The sequence below is a fragment of the Homo sapiens genome, chromosome 2 (genome assembly GCF_000001405.40).
Source record: "Homo sapiens chromosome 2, GRCh38.p14 Primary Assembly".
Taxonomy (NCBI): Eukaryota; Metazoa; Chordata; class Mammalia; order Primates; family Hominidae; genus Homo; species Homo sapiens.
Genome location: NC_000002.12, coordinates 14,227,996 through 14,250,712, shown reverse-complemented (window position 1 = coordinate 14,250,712; position 22,717 = coordinate 14,227,996). Strand labels below are relative to the sequence as shown.

The following is a 22,717-nucleotide window of genomic DNA, read 5'->3' as shown; positions in this document are numbered from 1 at the left end:
GCAGTGAGCCAAGACCATGCCCCTGCACCACTCCAGCCTGGGGAACAAGAGCGAAACTCCATCAAAAACAAAAGAAAAAGAAAGAAAGAAAGAAAAAAAACACTAAGAAATCTACAAAACAATTCTAATAGAATTCAAAACTGCATTTAGTAGGGTTTTAGGATACCAGGTCACAAAATATCAATTGTATGTCTATTTTCAATAATTTTTAAAAATGGAAATTCAAATTAAAACATTAATGAAACATACAATTAAAAATTAAATGCATATAGATAAATTAACACTACTTGTGTAAAACCTTTATAATAAAACTTGAAAACATTGCTGAGAGAAATTAAGATATAAGTAAATTAAGAGAAATATCATGTACCAAGCTTAGAAAACTCAATATTTCTAAAATGGCACACTTCCTCAGTTTGACCTATCAATTCATACAAACTCAGAAAATACTTCAGCAGTCTATTTTGAGACATTGACAAGCTATTATAAAATAAATGTAGAAATGCAAAGGACTTGTAATAGTCAAATCATTTGTTTCTAAGAGACAGTCCCACATTATATTGCCCTGTCTGGGGTGCACTGGCTATTCACAGGTGGAATCATAGTGCACTGCCACCTCAGACTCCTGGGCTCAAGGGATTCCCTTGCCTCAGACTCTTGAGCAGCTGGGACTACATGTGTATGCCACCAAGACTGGTTAGTCAAAGTGATTTTAAATAAGAAAAACAAAATAAGAGTCACACTACTTAACTTTAAGACTTATTATAAAACTACACCAAGCAAAAAAGTGTTTATTGAAACAAGCATTGACAAGGGCACAGAAAAAGATTCCCGGAATAGATGTATATATGTATGTGCAATTGATTTTCCAAAAAGATGCCAAAGTTACTCAATTGGAAATCATAAGCCTTTCTATCAAATGTTACTGGAACAACTGAATATCCACCTGAAAATAAAACTCAATCCTTAAATAATGCCATACATATCAATTCAACATGGATAATATACTCATACCTAAATCTAAAACTATAAAACTTCTAGAAGAATATATAGGAAATGATGTTTATGATCTTGGAGGTAGTCATATATGCTCAGGACATAAAATGTGCAAATCATAAAATAAATAGATTGATGAATAGGACTGTATTAGAATTAAGAACATTTTCTCTTTGTATAACACCAAAAAAATATAAAAAGAAAAACCACAATCTGGAAAAAGTAGTTGCAATAGTTTGCATATTTTGATATTTGCTACATAAGTGTGTGTGCATATGTGCATATAATAAAAGATTTTAATTTAAAAAATTACAACTCAATTATGGGACAATCAATCCCATTTAAAACTGTGAAAAAATATTTGAAAAGACACTTTACAAAAGATACAGCAAATAAGCATATTAAAAAAATTCCTTGTCATTAGTCATCACAGAAATACAACTTATACATCACAGAAATACAACAATTTTTTATACAATTTATTAAAAAATTCCTTGTCATTAGTCATCACAGAAATACAACTTACAGTCACAATGAGATACCACTACACACACAGAGAAAATCTATTAAAATATTTATGCAAGAGAAGTGAAAACATATGTCTAAACAAAGAATAATACATAAAAGTCCATAGGAGGATTAATATCCCAAAACTATAAGCAACTGAATGTGCTGAATAATGGAGGTAGTGAATGATAACAACAACATGGATGAATTTCTGAAACATGCTGAGTGAAGGAGCCATAGACCAGAGTGTATATTTTGTGAACCCATTTATATGAAACTCTAGAAAAGGCAAATGTAATTTCTAGAGACTGTGAAGTCACACAAAGAGTATGTACAGAGTGATGGAAATTACCTTCTTAATATCCTCTTAATTATCTTAATCTTAAATTTGTAATAGTTACACAATGTATAAACAACATTGAAAAGTTTACCTAAATTGCTTCTTTTGTGTGTATATTTTATTTTGTTATTTTATTTTTTACTATACTTTAAGTTATAGGGTACATGTGCAGAACGTGCAGTTTTGTTACATACATATACACGTGCCATGGTGGTTTGCTGCACCCATCAACTCATCATCTACATTAGGTATTTCTCCTAATGCTATCCCTTCCCTAGCCCCCCAGTCCCTGACAGGCCCCGGTGTGTGATGTTCCCCTCCCTGTGTCCATGTGTTCTCATTGTTAAACTCCCACTTATGAGTGAGAACATATGGTTTTGGTTTTCTGTTCTTATGTTAGTTTGCTGAGAATGATGGTTTCCAGCTTCATCCATGTCCCTGCAAAGGACATGAACTCATCTTTTTTTACAGCTGCATAGTATTCCATGGTGTATATGTGCCACATTTTCTTTATCCATTCTAACATTGATGGGCATTGGGGTTCATTCCAAGTCTTTGCTATTGTGAACAGTGCTGCAATAAACATACGTGTGCATGTGTCTTTATAGTAGAATGATTTATAATCCTTTGGGTATATACCCAGTAATGGGATTGCTGGGTCAAATGGTATTTCTAGTTCTAGATCCGTGAGGAATCGCCACACTGTCTTCCACAATGGTTGAACTAATTAACACTCTCACCAACAGTGTAAAAGCGTTCCTATTTCTCCACATCCTCTCCAGCATCAGTTGTTTCCTGACATTTTAATGATCGCCATTCTAACTGGCATGAGATGGTATCTCATTGTGGTTTTGATTTGCATTTCTATAATGACCAGTGATGATGGGCTTTTTTTCATGTTTATTGGCTGCATAAATGTCTTCTTTTGAGAAGTGTCTGTTCATATCCTTTGCCCACTTTTTATGGGGTTGTTTATTTTTTTTCTTGTAAATTTGTTTAAGTTCTTTGTAGATTCTGGATATTAGCCCTTTGTCAGATGGATAGATTGCAAAAATGTTCTCCCATTCTGTAGGTTGCCTGTTCACTCTGATGACAGTTTCTTTTGCTGTGCAGAAGCGCGTTAGTTTAATTAGATCCTATTTGCCAATTTTGGCTTTTTTTTGCCATTGCTTTTGGTGTTTTAGACGTGAAGTCTTTGCCCATGCCTATGTCCTGAATGGTATTGCCTAGGTTTTCCTCTAGGATTTTTGTCGTTTGAGGTCTTACATGTAAGTCTTTAATCCATGTTGACTTAATTTTTGTATAAGATGTAAGGAAGGGGTTCAGTTTTAGTTTTCTGCATATGGCTAGCCAGTTTTCCTAACACCAGTTATCAAATAGGGAATCCTTTCCCCATTGCTTGTTTTTGTTAGGTTTGTCAAAGATCACATGGTTATAGATGTATGGTGTTATTTCTGAGACCTCTGTTCTGTTCCATTTGTCTACATATCTGTTTTGGTAGCAGTACCATGTTGTTTTGGTTACTGTAGCCTTGTAGTATAGTTTGAAGTCAGGTAGTTTGATGTCTCCAGCTTTGTTATTTTTGCTTAGGATTGTCTTGGCTATGTGGGCTCTTGTTTGGTTCCAAATGAAGTTTAAAGTAGTTTTTTTTTTTTTTTTTTTTTCAATTCTGTGAGGAAATTCAATGGTAGCTTAATGGGGATAGCATTGAATCTACAAATTTGTTTCGGCAGTATGGCCATTTTCATATTGATTCCTCCTATCCGTAAGCATGGGATGTTTTTCCATTTATTTGTGTTCTCTCTTACTTCCTTGAGCAATGGTTTGCAGTTCTTCTTGAAGAGGTCCTTCACATCCCTCGTAAGTTGTATTCCTAGGTATTTTGTTCTCTTGGTAGCAATTGTGAATGAAGTTCACTCATGATTTGGCTCTCTGTCTGTTATCTTAAAATTCAATACGGTTGAGTGAAAACATTTATTTAAATTCTAAATAGGCAGCCTAACCACAAAACCCAAGATTCTTTCAGATCACCCAGAACAGATTTTTCATAACAAGAACAAATGACTTGCTTAAAGTTACTTCCATGTGGGTAAAAATTTTGCCCATTAGAGTTATGTCTAATGATTATAAATTCTTGAGGATCACTGTTCATAATGCTTTTTTCTTGTGGTATTTCTGTTTTCCTTTGAGATGTATTAAAAACATATAACTAAGCATTTGAAAAAAATTAATTAAAAAAAATTATGTAGAAAAAGTGACATCTCTTGTAGTAGAAAAATGCATTTCAAATCAACAAACAAAGGTATTGTTCTACAGCTTACATGCATTATCCGTGTCCAAAAATATATAATTAAGTATGTGTCTTTGCTATGGATACATTTTTTATCTGTTTTCTTGTTTGCCTCCTTGAAAGCATAGGTCAGCGGTAGTTTTGTTGAATGATTGTCTATTTGCTTTTGCTATTTGTTCTTTTATGATCTCCTTATCTCTAATATCTCATATATTGTGGATTATCAATAAATATTGGTTGGATGAATTAGGGAATATATGAATTAACAATAAACAAATGATTAAATAAAAAAATAAGTGATTGACCTGCCATTATGTTTTGATCTTTTTTCCTTGTGACCCTTGGCTTCAGCATAAGCATGCTTGGCATCTTTCCTTACTGAATTTTTTAAACTGTTTTAATTTTGTAGCACAGCATTCCCTGACAATATGTTGTAATATTGCATAAGTGGTAATTCAGAGAGGTTCCATGCCACATCTGGCTTTTGCAGAAAGTCCCCAGACAATATGAGTTCCATCTAAGTACACTCATCTCTTTATCCTCTGTCAACAAAAAGAAAGAAACTCTTATTACTGAGAATTAGAGCTTTATCTCTCAATTCTGATCAACTCTAAAGAATTTTGTATTTTTAAATATTTTGTTTTCTTTTTTGAAGGAAGCTACTTCTCCCTTTCATTCTGCTGCGTCCCTTCATCATATAAGGTCTAAATGTGAATAGTTTACACATAAGTTCTAGTTTATTGATGGTCTATAATATTCTACCTTTATTATATTCTAATAGTCTAACAGAGATTCATATAAAAATTATCAAACTTTTTATTATGGACTTCTGTAAACTTTTATAAATCTTTCTGACCACATTCTCTTAGAAATAGCTCAATTGAAACTGTGGGAAATATTTATGGTAAGTCAGCAATCACTGTGTGTGTAGAAGAGGTAAGACTAGCCCTGCACTAAGTAATATGAGGATACAGTAAAGTAAGAGAAAGATTCTGCCATTAAAGAACAGAACACTCAGTGAAAAGACAAATCAGGAGGGTGCAGAAGACATTCCATGTCACCTAGTCCAACTGACCAAGGAATACTCTATTCCATCTACAGTCTGTTGAGGCAAATTATAAAAGTGACCACAAATTCTTCCTATGCCAGTATGCCTGCCCTTTTGCAATTGATGTTGCATCTTCTTTCTTCAGGAGGTGGAGTCTTCACTCCTTGAATCTAGGTTTCTCCACATGACTGGCTTTGACTAATGTAATAGAAGTGACACAGCATTTGTTCTCTGCTACTTCACCAGCTGGAAACCTCTGTAGCTGGGGAAGACTTTACTTGGGCTGGTGGGTTTGTTCTTCCCACTTGACCTGGCAGGCTGTGCTCAGCCCATACTACTGACATGGATTCCACACCTGCCAACGGCAAGCCAGGCACAGAGTGGTGAGGCATGTTTAAGCATGCCAGCATGGGGTCTGGACACTGTGCGCAGTCTATCATGCTGGCTGCTGCTGTGGGGTGGGCAGCTCTAGGCACTGGCACAGGTGCTGGCTCTGTGCAAGGCTGCAGTCGGACCAGCTGTACCACAAGTGGCTTCCACTGCAGGCACCCACATCTGGATGAGTGGAACATAGTGGTGTCCAAAAGCTCAGAGACACCCACAACCACAGAGCCCCAAAGAGATAGTTACAGCATGTCACAACCCTGGCTCAGGGAACCCCTAGGTTTGGGCTCCCAGGAGGGCTGTAGATCTTCTCTGCTTCTGGTCACCTGCAATGTAGCAAGTGGTGGGGGATATGTGTCAGCCTGTTTTTGTCACAACTCTCTCAGTCCTGCCATTCAGAGTCCCAAGTTCCTGTCTCACATCAAGGAAGAATGAAGTATGCAGACAATTTGAGGGTGAGCAAAGTGGAGAGGACATTTGTTGAGTGACAGAACAGCTCTCAGAAGATCTGAAATGTATAGCTCCTATCCGCAGGCAGGTCATTCCATCGAGTGAGTGAGTCTGGCTGAGTCTGTGGTTTTTATGTGTTCAGAATGGAGGAACTGCATGCTGATTGACAGATTTTGTGTATGTGAAATTATAAACATATAAGATATTTGAAGACATGGGCCATCTGTTCTAAGTTTTTGTAGACTTGAAGCTTACTACAGGGCTTCAACTGTATCAACTAAGCAATAAGTACTCAGTTAATAAAACAATTATCAAATAGTATTTATATTTTGTGCTTTAAATGTAATATGGCTTAGAAAATCTGGAAACCAGTTATTATAATTTGTAGTAACAAAGAATCAGTAATTTCTGAATGAGGATCCCTTTAATATATCAAATTTATACAAGCTTTAAGATAACTATTTTCTTATTTCTGAATTCACACTTTTGCTATGCAAGTTTCAGATTGCTCCAAATAAAATTTTTGTTGTACGAACAACTTACATTAGGATTCCTCTGTGGAGAGCTGATGTTATCTTATGAAAAGAGCACTGAAATGATGATACAAAGTTAAGACAACACGAAAAAAGCAAAACCAATTTTTAAAAACCTAAAGAATTGTCTTTGCTATAAATATACTCTATATGTATACACATGCACAAAAACTGAGTGGGTATGTATAATAATAACCACTTAATTTTTAATATGACAATAAAATCAATACATTTCCTTAGTATTGTTTTACTTCACATTAATACAGTTAATGCAATATTGCAAAATTTTTGAAGATAGAAATCTGCATTGGGTATCAAAAGGACACAGTACAATAGCAAACATTGTACAGTCCCTAATATCTCTGAGTTTTAGGTCCCTGAATAGAAACAAACAAATTATAAGCCTAGAAAGGGATACAGTTTTCCACAGGGCTGTTGCTACTATCAAATAAGATAATTTAAATGATAATACTTAATAATTGACAAATTTAATTCAAAAAATTAAAAACTATTACATTTAGCCTGATTCTAATAAATATGATTAGATTGTGTTCAACATATGTACATATTTCACCAGTAGTAACTGTGTGTGTACTGTTTTTTTAATATTTGACTGAGAGACAAGACATAGGGGTGTTTGAATGGTGTGACTAACCAACTCATACATAGTAAAGCAGTGCTACACATTTTTTCCAGGCAATGTTTACAATATTTTAAAAGCTATATTTGAAAACAAAATGGTACATGATTATGGTAAAAAATAAAGTTACAAGTAGATACATATCTACCAACAAGCCTGATGACTTAAATCCAACAACCCCCAAAGGAAAAGCCTAAATATAATAAACAATCCATTTCTGGTGTAAATTTAAAAATTGAACTTGTTTTAAAGGTGGGCTTATCTAATGGTTCTGATGGGAAAATGGTGATGGGAGGCAACAAACGGTGTCAGAAAGTTCCAATTGATTGGTGGTGTGAGTTGGTTTCAGTCTCCCTGGGCTTAGCAGGTGTTTGGTTACTCTTTCTCACACAGGAGCATGTTTGTTGATCTTCTTAAACCTTTCCCCACCAGGGAACACATGTAGTGTTCTCTTAATGCTGGCAAATATATTTCCTTCTGTATGGCCACGGACTACTCCTTCTGTAGCTTCTAAACATTCAGCAGGGCACATTCTGTGTGCTTAGGTCCTTCAGCCCACCAAGTGCCTTGTTTGGATGGAATCTTCTGCCCTTTGTACAGAGCACAACTGATTCATGACAGACATTCTCACTTTTTTTTTCTTTGACAAACTCAGAGCTCTGGACAATCCCACTTCAGTGACTTGCTTTGTTATAAGCCTAACTAGCAAGATGTATTCTCTCCATGTAGATTTCTCTGTCTCTGCCTGTGGATCTAATACTCATCCCCTCTGCCTTCCAAACTTCAGGAAACAAGCATGTTATTATTATCCATGTTGTTTACTGAAAGCCACTTTCCCTAGGCTTGGGGTGCTGTGGGCCCTCATATCCTCTTCTTCTGTTCTATTCTCAGCTTCTCTAACTTCTTTAGAAGGTAAAAGTTGGTGGCCAATAAAGGATAAAACACTTATTTTTTCATCCTAATGTCTTTTGTAAGTCTCGTATGATGAGCTCACATAGGACTTCTGTACAGGTCACCTACTACTTTAAAAAAAATCAAATCCTGAAACCATCAGTTTTCTTATTTTACTCTACAACAAATACCAATATTGTAAATTTTTGTCCATTTTATAGTGTAATAAAAATATTTTTATTTTATTTTATTTTTATTTTATTATTATTATACTTCGAGTTTTAGGCTCTAAAGGCTGATGTTGGATCATATTTCCCCAAATTGTCAAAGTTGAGGAGCAGATATACACATGCCTGTGCTTGGGAACACATGGCAATAAATCTAAGGAAATCGAACCTGTTATATCTGTAGATATGGGGACTAAAGAAAAAACACCAAGATTCTTTTTCCATGTAAACCCTTAAATAAGACAAACTGTGATAACAAAGTCAGAGGAAATCCAAAAGGTCAAGAAAATTGCTTAAAGGAGCCAGACTGGAAAAGGCTGGATCTCTTGGGCAGCAACCACCAGAGACTATAGGCAATTTAGCTTGGTGTAAAGGTATTAGGTTAAAGCCAATGACAACTTTCTCATATTTGTTTCATCTCTCGTATAAAAGAGGGTTTAAAAAATAAATTAAATTTCAGAAATAGAATTTTATTGATGAGATGGTATCTTGGCTGTGGTCTTCAGTGAAATTTCACAGATCTTATGAAGGTGTGATTTTTAAAAATTGTTGTCACACTGAGAGTAATCGTAAGACTCTAATCACCTTGCATATATGTCTCAGTTCAGCTAAATCAAATAGAGGAGATGCACCAGGACTTGCCAACATTGTCCATGCTTTCACAGGTGTTTCCACTTCAGGCTGGGCCACATATACCTAAAGTAAGATATCAGACATGATAATTGTCAGATATGTATTCCCATATAGAGAACAAAACTGCAAAGAAGCATATTGGTGATGACAGGAACATTAATTCTCAAATTAAGCTGGCTCTATTCAAGACCTGAGCTTAATGTATCTTGGAATCAATTGCAGAAGAAAAACAAAATAGTGGGGGTTCTGTCAAATGAAATTACTGGGTATGAAATAATGATATTTTCAGATCAAGATTTCTATCCTGAAAATGTTAGTATCTCAGTGTGTGTGTGTGTGTGTGTGTGTGTGTGTGTGTGTGCACACGCATGCACACATGTGTAGGTGTGATAGGGGTTGAGGATTTTAAGAAATCCAGTGGTGCAAGAAAAGTTTTGGACTGAGAATAAAGAGATCTAAATTATATATTTTAACCTGCTTCCAACTGAACCATTTACCTTGAGGCACTCGCTTTTCTTTTCTGACTATCTGATCTCTTTTCTTAAAAAAATAATAAAAGATATGAGCAAGTTGATTCCCGTGATCCCTTTCAATTCCAAAGTCCTGTGACTATACACAGTGGTGAAGAGTTGAGAGTAAGAATCAGTGCAATGTATGTACTAAGGTGAGAGAACTGGTGGAGAGATTGCAGCGGGTTCTGGAATGCTTAGCTTGCATTTTAAACAAATAAAAGGATGTTTTGGCCATTGCCACTCTCATTTGAGACCATCATTCAGAAAATCATTTGATCTGGAGAGTAACCTTGACATTTCAGGTCAGGTCTAAAATTCTTAAGAAACCACGTTTTCATGCCAGAGGGTAATATAATTTTTCCTGCTAGAATATTGTGAAAAATGTCGTAACTTAAAGACATCTAGTCAGTGAATTTTAACTTCTTTGTATTCTTTAAAAAGCCTATTTGCGCTTCAGTGTATTGCAAAATTAACTGCATGTTGTTCTTGTTGATAACAATCAACTCTTTGAGTGCTTTTTTGTTTGTTTGTTTGTTTTAGAGACAGAGTCTCGCTCTGTTGCCCAGGCTGGAGTGGAGTGGCGTGATCTCGGCTCACTGCAAGCTCCGCCTCGAGGGTTCATGCCATTCTCCTGCCTTAGCCTCCCGAGTAGCTGGGACTACAGGCAGCCACGACGCCTGGGTAATTTTTGTATTTTTAGTAGAGACCGGGTTTCATTCACCATGTTAGCCAGGATGGTCTCGATCTTCTGACCTCGTGATCTGCCCACCTCGGCCTCCCAAAGTGCTGGGATTACAGGCGTGAGCCACTGCGTCCGGCCTGAGTGCTGTTTTCTAAATGAACTAATGTTCTAAGAGTCCAATCACAGGGATATTCATTATTTGTAATATTATATTAAGCTAGTATATAACATTGCAAGCTAATATATAACTTTCCTTAAAATATAAAAAATAGGTTCATTTACCTAAAAAGACCTCTTATTTTGATCTGGAGGAGAGAATAATCATGAATTGTCAAGGCATGTGCTGTTATATTCCTCTGTTTATGCCTATGGTTCATCTTTCCCTCTCCCTTGATTTCAACTTTTTGATTAGCAGAAACAAATATGAGTAGCTTTACTGCGGTATAACTGACATACAATGAACTACATACATTTAGTGTACAATTTGATTAGTTTTGACAAATATATAAGTCTGTGAAATTATCACCACAATCAAGATAGTGAGCATATAAATGACGCCCCCAAAATTTCCTCTTGTCCCTTTGAACTCCTCCCCCTCACCAGTACCTGGTACTTTTTAGTAACAGTTAATCTACCTTCTGGCACTATAGATCAGCTTTTATTTTCTAGAATTTTATAAAAATGGAATCATATTTTATGCAATGTTTATGGTCTATGTTCTTTCACTCAGCATAATTATTTTGAGATTCACCTATGTTTTTATGTGCATCACGTGATATTTTAAACCATTCATCTGTTGATAGAAATTTGAGTCTTTTCCAGTTTGGGGCTACTACAAATTAAAGTGCTATGTGACACTTGTATACAAGCTTTTGTATAAACATACGCTTTCATTTGTCTTGAGTAAATTCCTAGTAGCGAGATGGGTGGAATATATGATAGGTGTATGCTTCAATTTTTAAGAAACAGTGAATAAAAGCAGTTTTATTTCTTTTCAGCTTGGATGTTTTATTTATTTATTGTTATTATTATTATTATTATTATTATTTTGCCCTGTTTCATTGGCTTCGAAACAGTGAGAGCAAACATGTTTGTCTCATACCTGCCCTTAGAGGAAAAGCATTCAGCCATTCAACATTAGTATGGTGTTTAGCTATAGATTTTTTTCATGTCCTTCCTAGTTTTCTAGTTTTCTGAGCTTTTTTTATAAGGAATGGATATTCAGTTTTGACAATTGCTTTATCTGTACCTATTGAGAAGATCATATTTATATTTTTCTACTTTTTGTTTATTGATTTGGTGAATACATTGGTTGACTACGTTAAATCAAGTCTGCATCCCTGAGATAAACCCAAATTGGTTATGATATGCTGGATTAGTCCGTTCTCACATTGCTATAAAGAACTAAGACTGGGAAATTTATAAAGAAAAGAGATTTATGGTGTGTGATGTTCCCCTTCGTGTGTCCGAGGGGAGAGGGATAGCACTGGAGATATACCTAATGCTAAATGACAAGTTAATGGGTACAGCACACCAACATGGCACATGTATACATATGTAAGAAACCTGCAAGTTGTGCACATGTAACCTAAAACTTAAAGTATAATAATAATAAAATTTAAAAAAAATAAAAAAAAAAAGAGATTCAGTTGGCTCATGGTTCCATAGGCTGTACAGGACGTATGACTGAGGAAGCCTCAGGAAACTTACAATTATGGTGGAAGGCAAAGGGGAAGCTGGCACATCCTACATGGTCAGAGCAGGAGGAAAAGAGTGAAGCAGGAGTTGCTACATGGTTTTAAAATACCAGATCTTGTGAGAATTCTACCATAGGAGTAGCAAGGGGGAAATCTGTCCCCATGATTCAATCATCTCCCACCAGGCCCCTCCTCCAGCATTGGAGATTACAATTCCACATAAGATTTGGGTGGGAACACAGACCCAAACCATATCATATACCTTAAAAATAATTTTGTTTTAATTCTAAATTTTTTTAAAGATTTTATATTTATGATTACAAGGGATATTGATGTGTAGTTTTATTTTCTTACAATGTATTTGTCTGCTTTTGTTATTAAGTTAACACTGGCCTCAGAATTCATTGTGAAGTATTCCTTTTGCTTCTATTTCCTGGAAGAGTTTGTGCATTTGTAACAGTCATAGAGACTATTTCCTTGTCTCTTACATCTATAATCAATAGTGCTTTTTCCTGTTTGGTAGAATTCACCAGTCACACCATTTGAGCCCAGAGTTACCTTTGTTAAAAGGTTTTAAGCTACAAATTCAATTTCTTTAATAGGCCTAGAGCTACTAGGGTTAACTGTTTTTTCTCGAATGAGCTTTGATCCTTTGTATCTTTCAAGGAATTTTTCCATTTTATCTTAATTATCAAATTCATTGGCATTACTTTGTTTACAATATTACTTTATTATTCTTTTCATATATTTAGAATCAATAATGATGTCATCTTTCTTATATCAATTATTGGAAACTTGTGTCTTTCTTCCCTCTTTTGTTCCTGATCAATCTGGTTACAGGTTTATCAATTTATTGGTCTTAAAAATTCAGCTTTTGGTTTTATTTATTTTTCTGTTTTTTTTCCTGTTTTTGATTTTTTCTTTATTTTTGTTTTGATCTTTATTCTTTTCTTATCTTGCTTACTTTGTGTTTAGTTTGCTTTTCTTTATTCAGTTTCTGAAAGCAGAAGTTAAGTTTATTCATTGTAGAACTTTCTTCTCTGCTTATATAGGTGCTTATTGCTATCAATTTCCACTTCATTTCCCTTGACATATGCCAGTAATAAAAATGAAGCTATATAAACAATGAACAAGAAGGAATTTAAAAATATTGTTATTATAGGAGAGTGGTTTTGGTAACTAGTTCATCTTAGGAAGCTCCTTGACCTATGTTCCAGAGGTTGTCTTGCAATATACCTCATTCTATGATAAAATTCAAGATGTGTTCAAAAGTATCATGCTTCTTTATGTTGAGGAAAATCCCAGGAATAAATGAAGCAGGATATTGCTTCATTTATTCAAGCAATGATGAAAGCACATTTAAATAAAAGTTAGATCTTTATATATCTTCATATATTTTGCTCTAATGAAATATTTTTTAAATATAATTGTCATTAATGCTAATTTTCATTCGTTTTTCAATAATTTCATATATTTTATTTGTTATACAGCATCAATGAGTATTAAGAGCAAAGCCAATATTTTCACTAATCTCACTTATACAAGGATAATTAACTTGGAAATTCTTAAAGGAAATCTAAGTGAACACCCTAGCTTTAAATATGCCATTCTCTTGAAGCAATTGATAAATAGTCTAAGATATATAAGAGTTTTTACTCAAAATTGCCCATCTGGAACTTGTTAAATAAGTGCAATATTATTAGAGAGCACTGCTATTTCTCATCATTATCATAACACATAAAGTAACTTAGTAGAGACAGGCACTCAGGGGTTGACAAATTATGGTGTTATACATATGACACCCAAATGAATTCTCACCTTGTGACTAAAATGTTAGACTAAATGGTCACCAACCAGAGCACTGGGAGGAGCCATCCCTCTCCCCTTAGTCTATTTGCATTTTTTCTTAAATAAGGCATTCACTGTTCCCACCTTTGTTCAACTTTGAATGTTACAAGTTTCCCCTTTTACATCTTTAAGCTCCAGTTTTTCCTTTTTTGGAACAAAGTAATAATCTTCATTACTCCACAGACATATTTTGAGGCTGAATTTAGGCAATGACTAAGAGAGTTCACAAGAATCTATAAGAAAGCACATAAATTTAAGGAAAGCTTTAATGTTTGAATTCAGTGCCACCGTGGGCTATTCTTCCTGCTTAAAATCCCTAGGGTGTTTTACTATTAAGACGTGTGTTATGCTAGAGAAATTTAGCTTAGATTAGCTTTTCTAACAAACTCTTGATTTGAGGTAGAATCAGAAAGGAATGTCACCCAGTACAACAATATTTTTGAATGAATAGTCAGGAAAAATCAGGAAAACTTGCTCTCCTGTTTGTTTCCCTTGCCCTGTTTGTTTCAGAGCAGTGATGTAACACATTTAAAATACTTTATCAATTTTATATATGCTAAGGTATGACCAGATAGCCTCTGAGGGGAAGGCTGTGAGGATGCTTACCTAGTTGCTTCCTACCTGATAGCTACATCCTCCTTTCTCTCCCCATTTCCTCCTTAAGGAGCCTCCCTGCTCAGAAACAGACAATAATGTCCCTATTTTTCACCTGAAATCTGTTTTGGAGACACTTTTTCTGTTCTTCTGCAGTCTCCTTTTGTACTTCTTTCTATCAGTCTCTTTTTAGGAAGGTCATCTCACAGCAGGTACATGGTCTCCTGACCCGGGTGTGTATGTGTGTGAAGGGTTGTGGGGGTTATTAGGATGTTGGGATTTGGGCTGGTAATGTGTAAGAAATTTTGGTTGTAATCTCTACAAGTTGTATTTTTTATACCTGTTATATAAATAGACACAAAATTTGCAGAATTATTGAGTAACGATGTTGTATTAGGTAGTCCTCACATTGCTATAGAGAACTACCTGACACTAGGTAATTCATGAAGAAAAGAGGTTTAATTGACTCACAGTTCCTCCATCTGTACAGGAGGCATGGCTGGGAGGCCTCAGGAAACGTATAATCATGGCAGAAGGCAAAGGGGAAGCTGGTAAGTCTAACCATGGTGGAGCAGGAGAGAGAGAGAGAGAGCAAAGGGGAAGTGCTACACATTTTTAAACAACCAGATCTCATGAGAACTCTGTCACAAGACATCACTAGGAGGATGGTGCTAAACTCTTAGACATAACCCCCATGATACAATCACTTCCCACCGGGCTCCACCTCCAACACTGGGGGATGACAGTTCAACATGAGATTGGGGTGCAGAAACAGAGCCAAACCATATCAGATATATAAGCCATGTAGCATAGAATCCTTTAATATCTACATTATTGATTCTGCTGCCTTTTGGAGTGAAATAAACTGTAACAAATTTCTCTTTGATGTAGTAACCTTTTGAATCTCTCAGGATGACTATTTGTCATTCTCTTCTATTTTTGGAACATCACTGGACAAAGGAAAGTGAAGGCAAAATAAGGGTAGAATAAAATGGTTGTGCCAGCACATTACTGGAAAATGGCCCATGCTTTTCAAGTGGGTTTCTTTTAATTGTGATTCTTCTGTGAATATCTGGGGATAAAATTCCAAAATATAAAATGATGATCATTTCTTATTTCTGGTTAGCCAATTACCATTTTGTTGAACCTAGAAGAGCCCAAACATTTGCTGGCCATGTCAGAAGGAAGCAGCTGTTAAAGCAGGCATCCGGCAGAAGGCAGCTTTCCCACAGCCACGTTGCAGTGGTCGCTTTCATGTGGATTCTCATGGGCATCTTAACAAATCCTGTAAGCCTTTGACAATTTGCTTTTCCTCGTTTCAGACCAGTGTTGGTCACTGATTTCTTGGTGATATCATAAAAGAGGAAACCCTGTATTTTTCACTTCTGTGTTGATGGGTGTGTTGCATTCTTTTCTGAATATGAAGCAACAAGATTTGCCTTCTCCAAGCAGCAAGATCATTAGGCAATTTGTTCACATTCATCATGGTAGGGATTGTGTGGTAAACACATCTCAAAGTGATAACGTGACTTGAGCTCACCTTGAGAACTACTCTGTATGGCAGATGCCCTTGAATGTGTGTTCAGAGTTCCGAGCGAGAGAATCCAAGAGTAGACAACCCAGAGATTTATTCCCTATCTATGAGGAACATCTGAGCCCCTAGCCATTCCCATGGACTGTGGTCTGTAAAGGGGATCAAGACCCTTTGTTGTGGGTTAAATGAAGGTTGTCAGGTGGAGGTTCTTAGGGGGAGGATGTTAAGTGAAGATGCTATATAAACTGCACGGCTTTTATAAGGGTTATGGTTCTCCTGTCCAGCCTGCCACTGCTGGACTCTCTCCCCTCTACGTAAGCCCCCAATAAAACCCCATGTCACATTCACTGGCTCCAGGGCTCTTCCTTGGCCTCTTGAACATGGTGCCATCCCCACTGGAGTCAACAGGGTTTGGCACGACAGGAAGTCCTTTCTTATTTTTATTCTTATTTTTCATTAAATGTTTTGTCCTGTATTAATGGAAATGCCCAATACATATGAAATCTTGCAAACATCCCAGAAAAACTGATTTCTCTACAATTCTTACATTTGAGGGAGTGTGTCTCACTCCTCATTCCCTTTATCATTTCCTTATGGAAATAAGGACAGCATTTTCACTCACTGCAGTGTTTGCAAGGGATTTGTTATCAGCAACTGCTTCCTAAGTTATTTATAGTCTGACAAATAATTGACTCTTGCTGTGGTGGGTACATATCAATTTGTATGGGGGTGGGGAATTTTCTCTGACATGAATAAAAAATCAGTTTAGGATAAAGAATGTGCACAATAATATCAGGACTTAGAAAAGACCTGCCAGCATTCTGGCGATGTGAAAGGGATACTGAGCCGGGAGTTTTGGGTTGGGAAATCAAGTTTGCCGTTGATATGCTGTGTGATCTTGGGCATGCTTCTTACTATTGCTGAGCCTCAGCACTGGCATTGGCAAATGAAGGTGTTACTGTTGGTACTCTCCCCAGATCCCTTCATGCACCTTTTATTCTTCTGTATGCCAGTTCCCTCACCTTCTCTGTGCTTTGCCTCTACTGGCTTGTACCAGTGACTTTCTTCAGGGGACTATTTTTGGATCCCTTGAGCCTCCTGCTTCATTCACCCTTATTCACAGACAGCCAAGGTGCCAGAGGGTTTATACATCTTCATTAGGCACCCCTAGCCTTTACCCAAGGACAAGCTAATACAGAGGTATGAAAAATAATTTGCCTTACCTTCAGGGTGAACAAATTCCAGAGGTGTAAGTTATATTCTACTGTTTCTGAGGTTGTTGCTGCGACTGCACCTAAAGCCCCAACCTGGCTGGACTTCTCCCATTCCCTGCACTCCTCCTCCCACATCCTCACGTGATTCTCCAGGGAGTACTTCGTTAAGAATCACTTGCACATAAACCCTCATCTCAGGATCTGCTTCTGCAAAACCCTTTCAACCTCACTTAACCAGTTGTTAAAGGTTAACTAAATATAGGATCAACCCAGATTTATAGTTTTTACTATTTCTCATAGTGTTTTAAATATTGCCTAGGTAAGTTTATATAATGAGATTATACAGACCATCAGTCTACATACCTGGGTTAGTGTAGGTGGGTAGATTTTGGCCCTTGAGGTCCAGATTTCAGTGAAAAATAAGTTACCATTTTACTTTATGATACTTCTTTCACCATAGCAATAACTTTTGGTGGGAAATAATTATTATTGCATTTTTTAGACAAGTAAGTAGGAATTTGGAAAGGACACATCACTTGTCTATATACCTAGGGGACTTGGTTGTACCACTGGAACCCAAGTTCTCCAGCTCTGAACTCAAAGTCCTCTCCAAGTACAGACAAGGCTGTAGGTAAATGTTTTTCTTGAAACCACTTGATTCTCTGGTTTCCTTGTCTGTTTTGCATGACCTCCACTACAGCCTCAATATCATGTTGAATTTCTGAGAAGCTTTCCAATGTTAGCTAAGATATGATCGTTGGGGCACCTAGGGAGCATAGATAAGTCAATACGGGGCTTTAAGATATCTAAACCCTTAATATTCCAAAGAATCAAAGCTGAAAGGACACTGAACAAGATCTTTACTCAAGTTCTTCTAATACCATAGCCTATAGGTAATGAAAACATGAATATGAAGACATTTTTACATGTCTTCATATTCAAATTGAGATTCATCCATTCTCTTTTAAATAAACAACTTGGCTTTCCTTTTTATGAAAAAGCCATTATGATTTGGTTTGCTCTCCAAAGAGTTTGGTTACTGAATGTCAACTTTTCTTAAAGAAAAATGTGACATCTTTAAGAAGCGAATTTGTAGAAAGAAAGACAGTTACAAGAGAAAAGTGGGAGCAAGTCAATTAAGGCTCAGGGAAACCTTTATTTCAACTACAGTCTCACAGCATGAATAAAGCACTCAAGGGATTGAGGTTCCTGCAAGGGAGGCCAAATGCATGCTTCTCAGACTGAAGAAAAGAAAGTTATTCTTACGAGCCAATTGGAGGTGTTTAATAGGTAATTAGCGCATTTCCTATCCTTTGTTTCTGACAACTGACTGACATCCTAAATCAATCCAGGTGGTAAGAACAAGATAAAGGCCTTAAAGGCACTAGCTCTATGCTGAGATTGTGAATAATTACCTGGGGAAGCGGTTTTCAAATGCTTTCAGATTCTTGGGCTCAGTTTCTGCAATTTCTGCTTTCTCTAGTGGGAGAATTCACATTTGTGACAGGCATGGAAACTGTTTCCTAGTTCCTCATATCTAGAAACACAATTGGTAAAATACTATTTTAAGTATTTCTTTGAATGGAATCATATGACGTTTTCATTTTGTTGTTGTTTTTTTCTCTTAGTATCTTGTAATAAGTTAAATATTTGCTGAAGGAAGAGAGCTGTAATAGAAAATGGAAGTGCCAGTGGTGAGACTTTATTTTTTTTTCTGAGGAATGGTTGAAATACATGAAGATACATAGAGAAGAAAACAATTCTTAATAAGTGCTAAGTGTCATCAAATACTATGTTTAAATGAACTCCTACTGAAGAGAGATTAGATTTTTTTCATCTATTTTGTTAAGAAAACAATTGAAGATCAACAAGTAGAAGTAAGGAGTAGACTCTTCAGATACATGGATTTCTAATAGTAGAGTTGCTCCAGCTGGACTCACTCAAATAAAATGAGTTCCAAATTCCCAGGGATGTGCAAACATTGAATAAACAATGAACTGCCAAGATTAGGTAGTACAAAGCTCATAGATGATTCCTGTTCCCATATTGCATAGGTCTCCTTTGGATTCAGAAAGACAATGAACTGCCAAGATTAGGTAGTACAAAGCTCATAGATGATTCCTGTTCCCATATTACATAGGTCTCCTTTGGATTCAGAAAGACACTGGGCTTCCCCCAAACCAAAGGAGAATAGTGCCCCTCCCACTCACATCCAGAGGCGTACATCTACTGCATAGGAGTTGCTTTCATTTTCCTCTTTATAAATTGTTTTGTCTTATTCTAAATTCACTAAAGAATGATGATTTTCAGAAATGTAACAATATCAGGTGGAAGTATAGTTATGTAGTAGTATAGCACAAGTTAAGCTAATTAAAAGATATCACTGATATATATCAAAATAGAAACACATGCAAAAATGACAATACTTATTTTTGTTGGGGATGCAGAGAAAATAGTACTCTAAAAACTCCTAGAGTGAATATGCATTGTTATATCTTTAATTTTTAAGCCATGATAAAGAGGGTATTAAAATTTAATGTACATACACTTTTTCATCAAGCAATACTTTATATCTAGAAATGTATGTTATAGAAACCAAAGGGTTACTAGTAGAGACCTATGAATAAATAATTTTCTTGCATTAGATATTAGAAAAATACCCAAACATGATAAAGTAGTTATTCAAATTATGGTACATCTATACCATGGATGTTCATGAATGCAACCATTAGATACAACCCCGTCATAAAACCATCAGATCTCATGAGACTTATTCATTATCAAGAGAACAGCATGAGAAAAACCCATCCCCGTGATTCAGTTACCTCCTACCAAGTCCCTACCATGACACATGGGGATTATGGGAGCTACAGTTCAAAATGAGATTGGACTAGGGACACAGCCAAACCATAACAGACATCAAACTATTTATCTTCACAAATGATATAATTTCACACCTAGAAAACCTCATAGTCTCTGCAAAAAGGCTCCTAGGCCTAATAACTTCAGCAAAGTTTCAAAATATAAAATCAATGTACAAAAATCAGTAGCATTTCTATACACCAATAACATCCAAGCTGACAGCAAAATCAAAAATGAAATCCCATTCACTATAGCCACATACAAAAAATACCTAGGAATATGGCTCACCAGGGAGATGAAACATCTCTAGAATAAGAATTATAAAACTCTGCTGAAAGAAATCAGAGATGGCATAAAGAAATGGAAAAACATTCCATGCTCTTCGATAGAAAGAATCAGTATTTTTTAAATGGCCATACTGCCCAAAGCAATTTCACAGATTCAATGCTATTTCTATCAAACTACCAATTACATTTTTCACAGAATTAGAATAAACTATTTCAAATGTCATATAGAACCAAAAAAAAGCTTGAATAGCTAAAGCAATCCTAAGGAAAAAAAAATGAAACAAAGATGAAGGCCTCATGATACCTAACTTTAAAATACATTACAGGGCTACAGTAACCAAAACAGCATAGTACTGGTACAAAAACAGACACATAGACTAATACAACAGGTTAGAGATCCCAGAAAGAAAGCCATAAACCTACAACCATCTGATCTTTGACAAAACTGACAAAAACAAGCAACAGGTAAAAGACTCCATATTCAACAAATGATGCTGGGATAACTGGCTAATCATATGCAGAAGATTGAAATTAGATTCTTTCCTTTCACCATTTATAAAAATCAACTCAAGATAGATTAAAGACCTAAATGGAAAACCTCAAACTGTAAAAACTCTAAAAGGAAACCTAGGAAATATCACCTTGGACAGAGGCCCTGACAAAGATTTTATGACAAAGCTTTCAAAAGCCTTTGCAACAAAAACAAAAATTGACAAATGGGACCTAATTAAACTAAAGAGCTTCTGCACAACAACAAAAATTGAGTAAACAGATAATCTACAGAATGGGAGAAAATATTTGCAAATTTTGCATCCCACAAAGGTCTAATATGAAGAATATATAAAGAACTTCAACAAATTAACAAACAAGGAGTGAACAACCCTATCCAAAAATGTGCAAAGAAGACGAACAGACACTTCTCAAAGGAAGACATATGTGGCCAAAAAACATATGAGAAAAAAATGCTTATCATCACAAATATTTAGAGAAATGCAAGTCAAAACCACAGTGAGATACCATCTCATACCAGTCAGAATGGCTATTACTGAAAAGTCAAAAATAACATTCTGGTGAGGTCCTGAAGAAAAGGGAAAACTGATACACTGCTAGTAGGAATGTACATTAATTTAGCCACAGTGTAAAGAAGTTTGGAGATCTTTCAAAGAACTTCCTCAAAGAACACACATATATTCATTGCGACACTATTCACAGTAGCAAAGACAGCAAAGACATGGGATCAACCTTGATGCTGATCAATGGTGGACTGGATAAGGAAAATGTGGTACTTATACACCATGCAATACTATGCAGCCATAAAAAAAGAACAAAAGCATGTCCTTTGCAGGGACATGGATAGAGCCAGAGGCCATTATCCTAAGTCAATTAACACAGGAACAGAAAACCAAATACTGCATGTTCTCACTGCTAAGCAGGAGTTAAACATTGAGAACACTTGGACAAAAAGAAAGGAACAGTAGACGTCGGGCCTACTGGAGGGTGGAGGGTAGGAGGAGAGTGAGAACTGAAAAACTACCTATCTGATACTATGTTCATTACCTGGGTGATGAAATAATCTGTACACAAAACTCCCATGACAGGCAGTTTACCCATGTAGCAAACCTGCATATGTACTCCTTGAACCTAAAATAAAAATTGAAAAAAAAAAGCCATTAGAAAGAATGGATTGGAATTATAGCTGTTTATTGGAAGGAATGTTTATCAGGTATTGAGAAAACAAGGTGAAGAAAAATGTGTATGACATGTTTTAATTTTTGTAAGTCATGATTCAAATATGTGCACATATTTTAAAATTTAGGTTTATGTGTTTGTCCACGTATGCATATATACATAATGCATTTTTGGATACACCTAAGTATAGAGACAAGTATGGAAGATGTTAACATGGTTTACCTAGAAGGGTCGTGATAAGGGTGAAGAGATGAAGGAAAGAGGAAGGAAGCAGGCAATTAAAAAGCAAAATAAATGCTAGCCTCATTAAGTAAACAGTGTGTATTATACGGTTCTGTAATTGAATACTGTGTAAAATTACATATGTGTAAAGAAAAATGTATAAAATATTTTCCTGAAAAATGAGGGGAAATACTTTACATATAACTCATTAGCCTAGTTTTAAAATCTAAATGACAAATATTATTTGAGTAAAAAGTCAGCAAATACAGAGCTGGATTCAGCTGGATAGTTATTTTGTTTTTACTTTATTTATTTAAAACCTTTCTCATTCAAGCTCGGGTTTAATGCAGCTCGCAATGAAAAATGTAGCATAACCTGAAAAATAATTGAGGAAATTACAGCATAGGGGGGTTAGATTCATTTTAGACATTTTTTGGTAAACAATAACACAGAACTCACTTTGGATATCTGACAAGTCTCTCATGACTGAAGGGTCTATGCATCCAAGCAGAACTTCATCAATATTCTTATTGAGTTGGGTCTCCTGATGTATTTACCTCATTTATCTCTATGACAGAGCAAAGTGATTTCTTTCACTTGGGGAAACATTAAGGCATTGTTGAGTATTGTCAAACTC

At 35.8% G+C, this 22,717-nt stretch overlaps 1 long non-coding RNA gene across 1 annotated transcript in view, besides 2 other annotated features; it reads left to right on the top strand.

Moving 5' to 3' along the window:
* Positions 1-21,839, top strand: part of LINC00276 (long intergenic non-protein coding RNA 276) — a 172,085-nt gene extending 150,246 nt beyond the window's left edge. The window contains exons 3-4 of the long non-coding RNA NR_103814.2: positions 14,763-14,823; positions 18,649-21,839. This is a non-coding gene — a long non-coding RNA (long intergenic non-protein coding RNA 276). The remainder of the gene's footprint in view (positions 1-14,762; positions 14,824-18,648) is intronic.
* Positions 17,693-18,328: an enhancer, noted in NCBI's record as "OCT4-NANOG hESC enhancer chr2:14372509-14373144 (GRCh37/hg19 assembly coordinates)". NCBI's record gives its function as "activates a minimal SCP1, AML or CMV promoter by ChIP-STARR-seq in naive and primed H9 embryonic stem cells {active_cell/tissue: H9 hESC(naive and primed)}" and the evidence as "EXISTENCE:reporter gene assay evidence [ECO:0000049][PMID:30033119]".
* Positions 18,329-18,965: an enhancer, noted in NCBI's record as "OCT4-NANOG hESC enhancer chr2:14371872-14372508 (GRCh37/hg19 assembly coordinates)". NCBI's record gives its function as "activates a minimal SCP1, AML or CMV promoter by ChIP-STARR-seq in naive H9 embryonic stem cells {active_cell/tissue: H9 hESC(naive)}" and the evidence as "EXISTENCE:reporter gene assay evidence [ECO:0000049][PMID:30033119]".
* Positions 21,840-22,717: the final 878 nt, after the last annotated feature.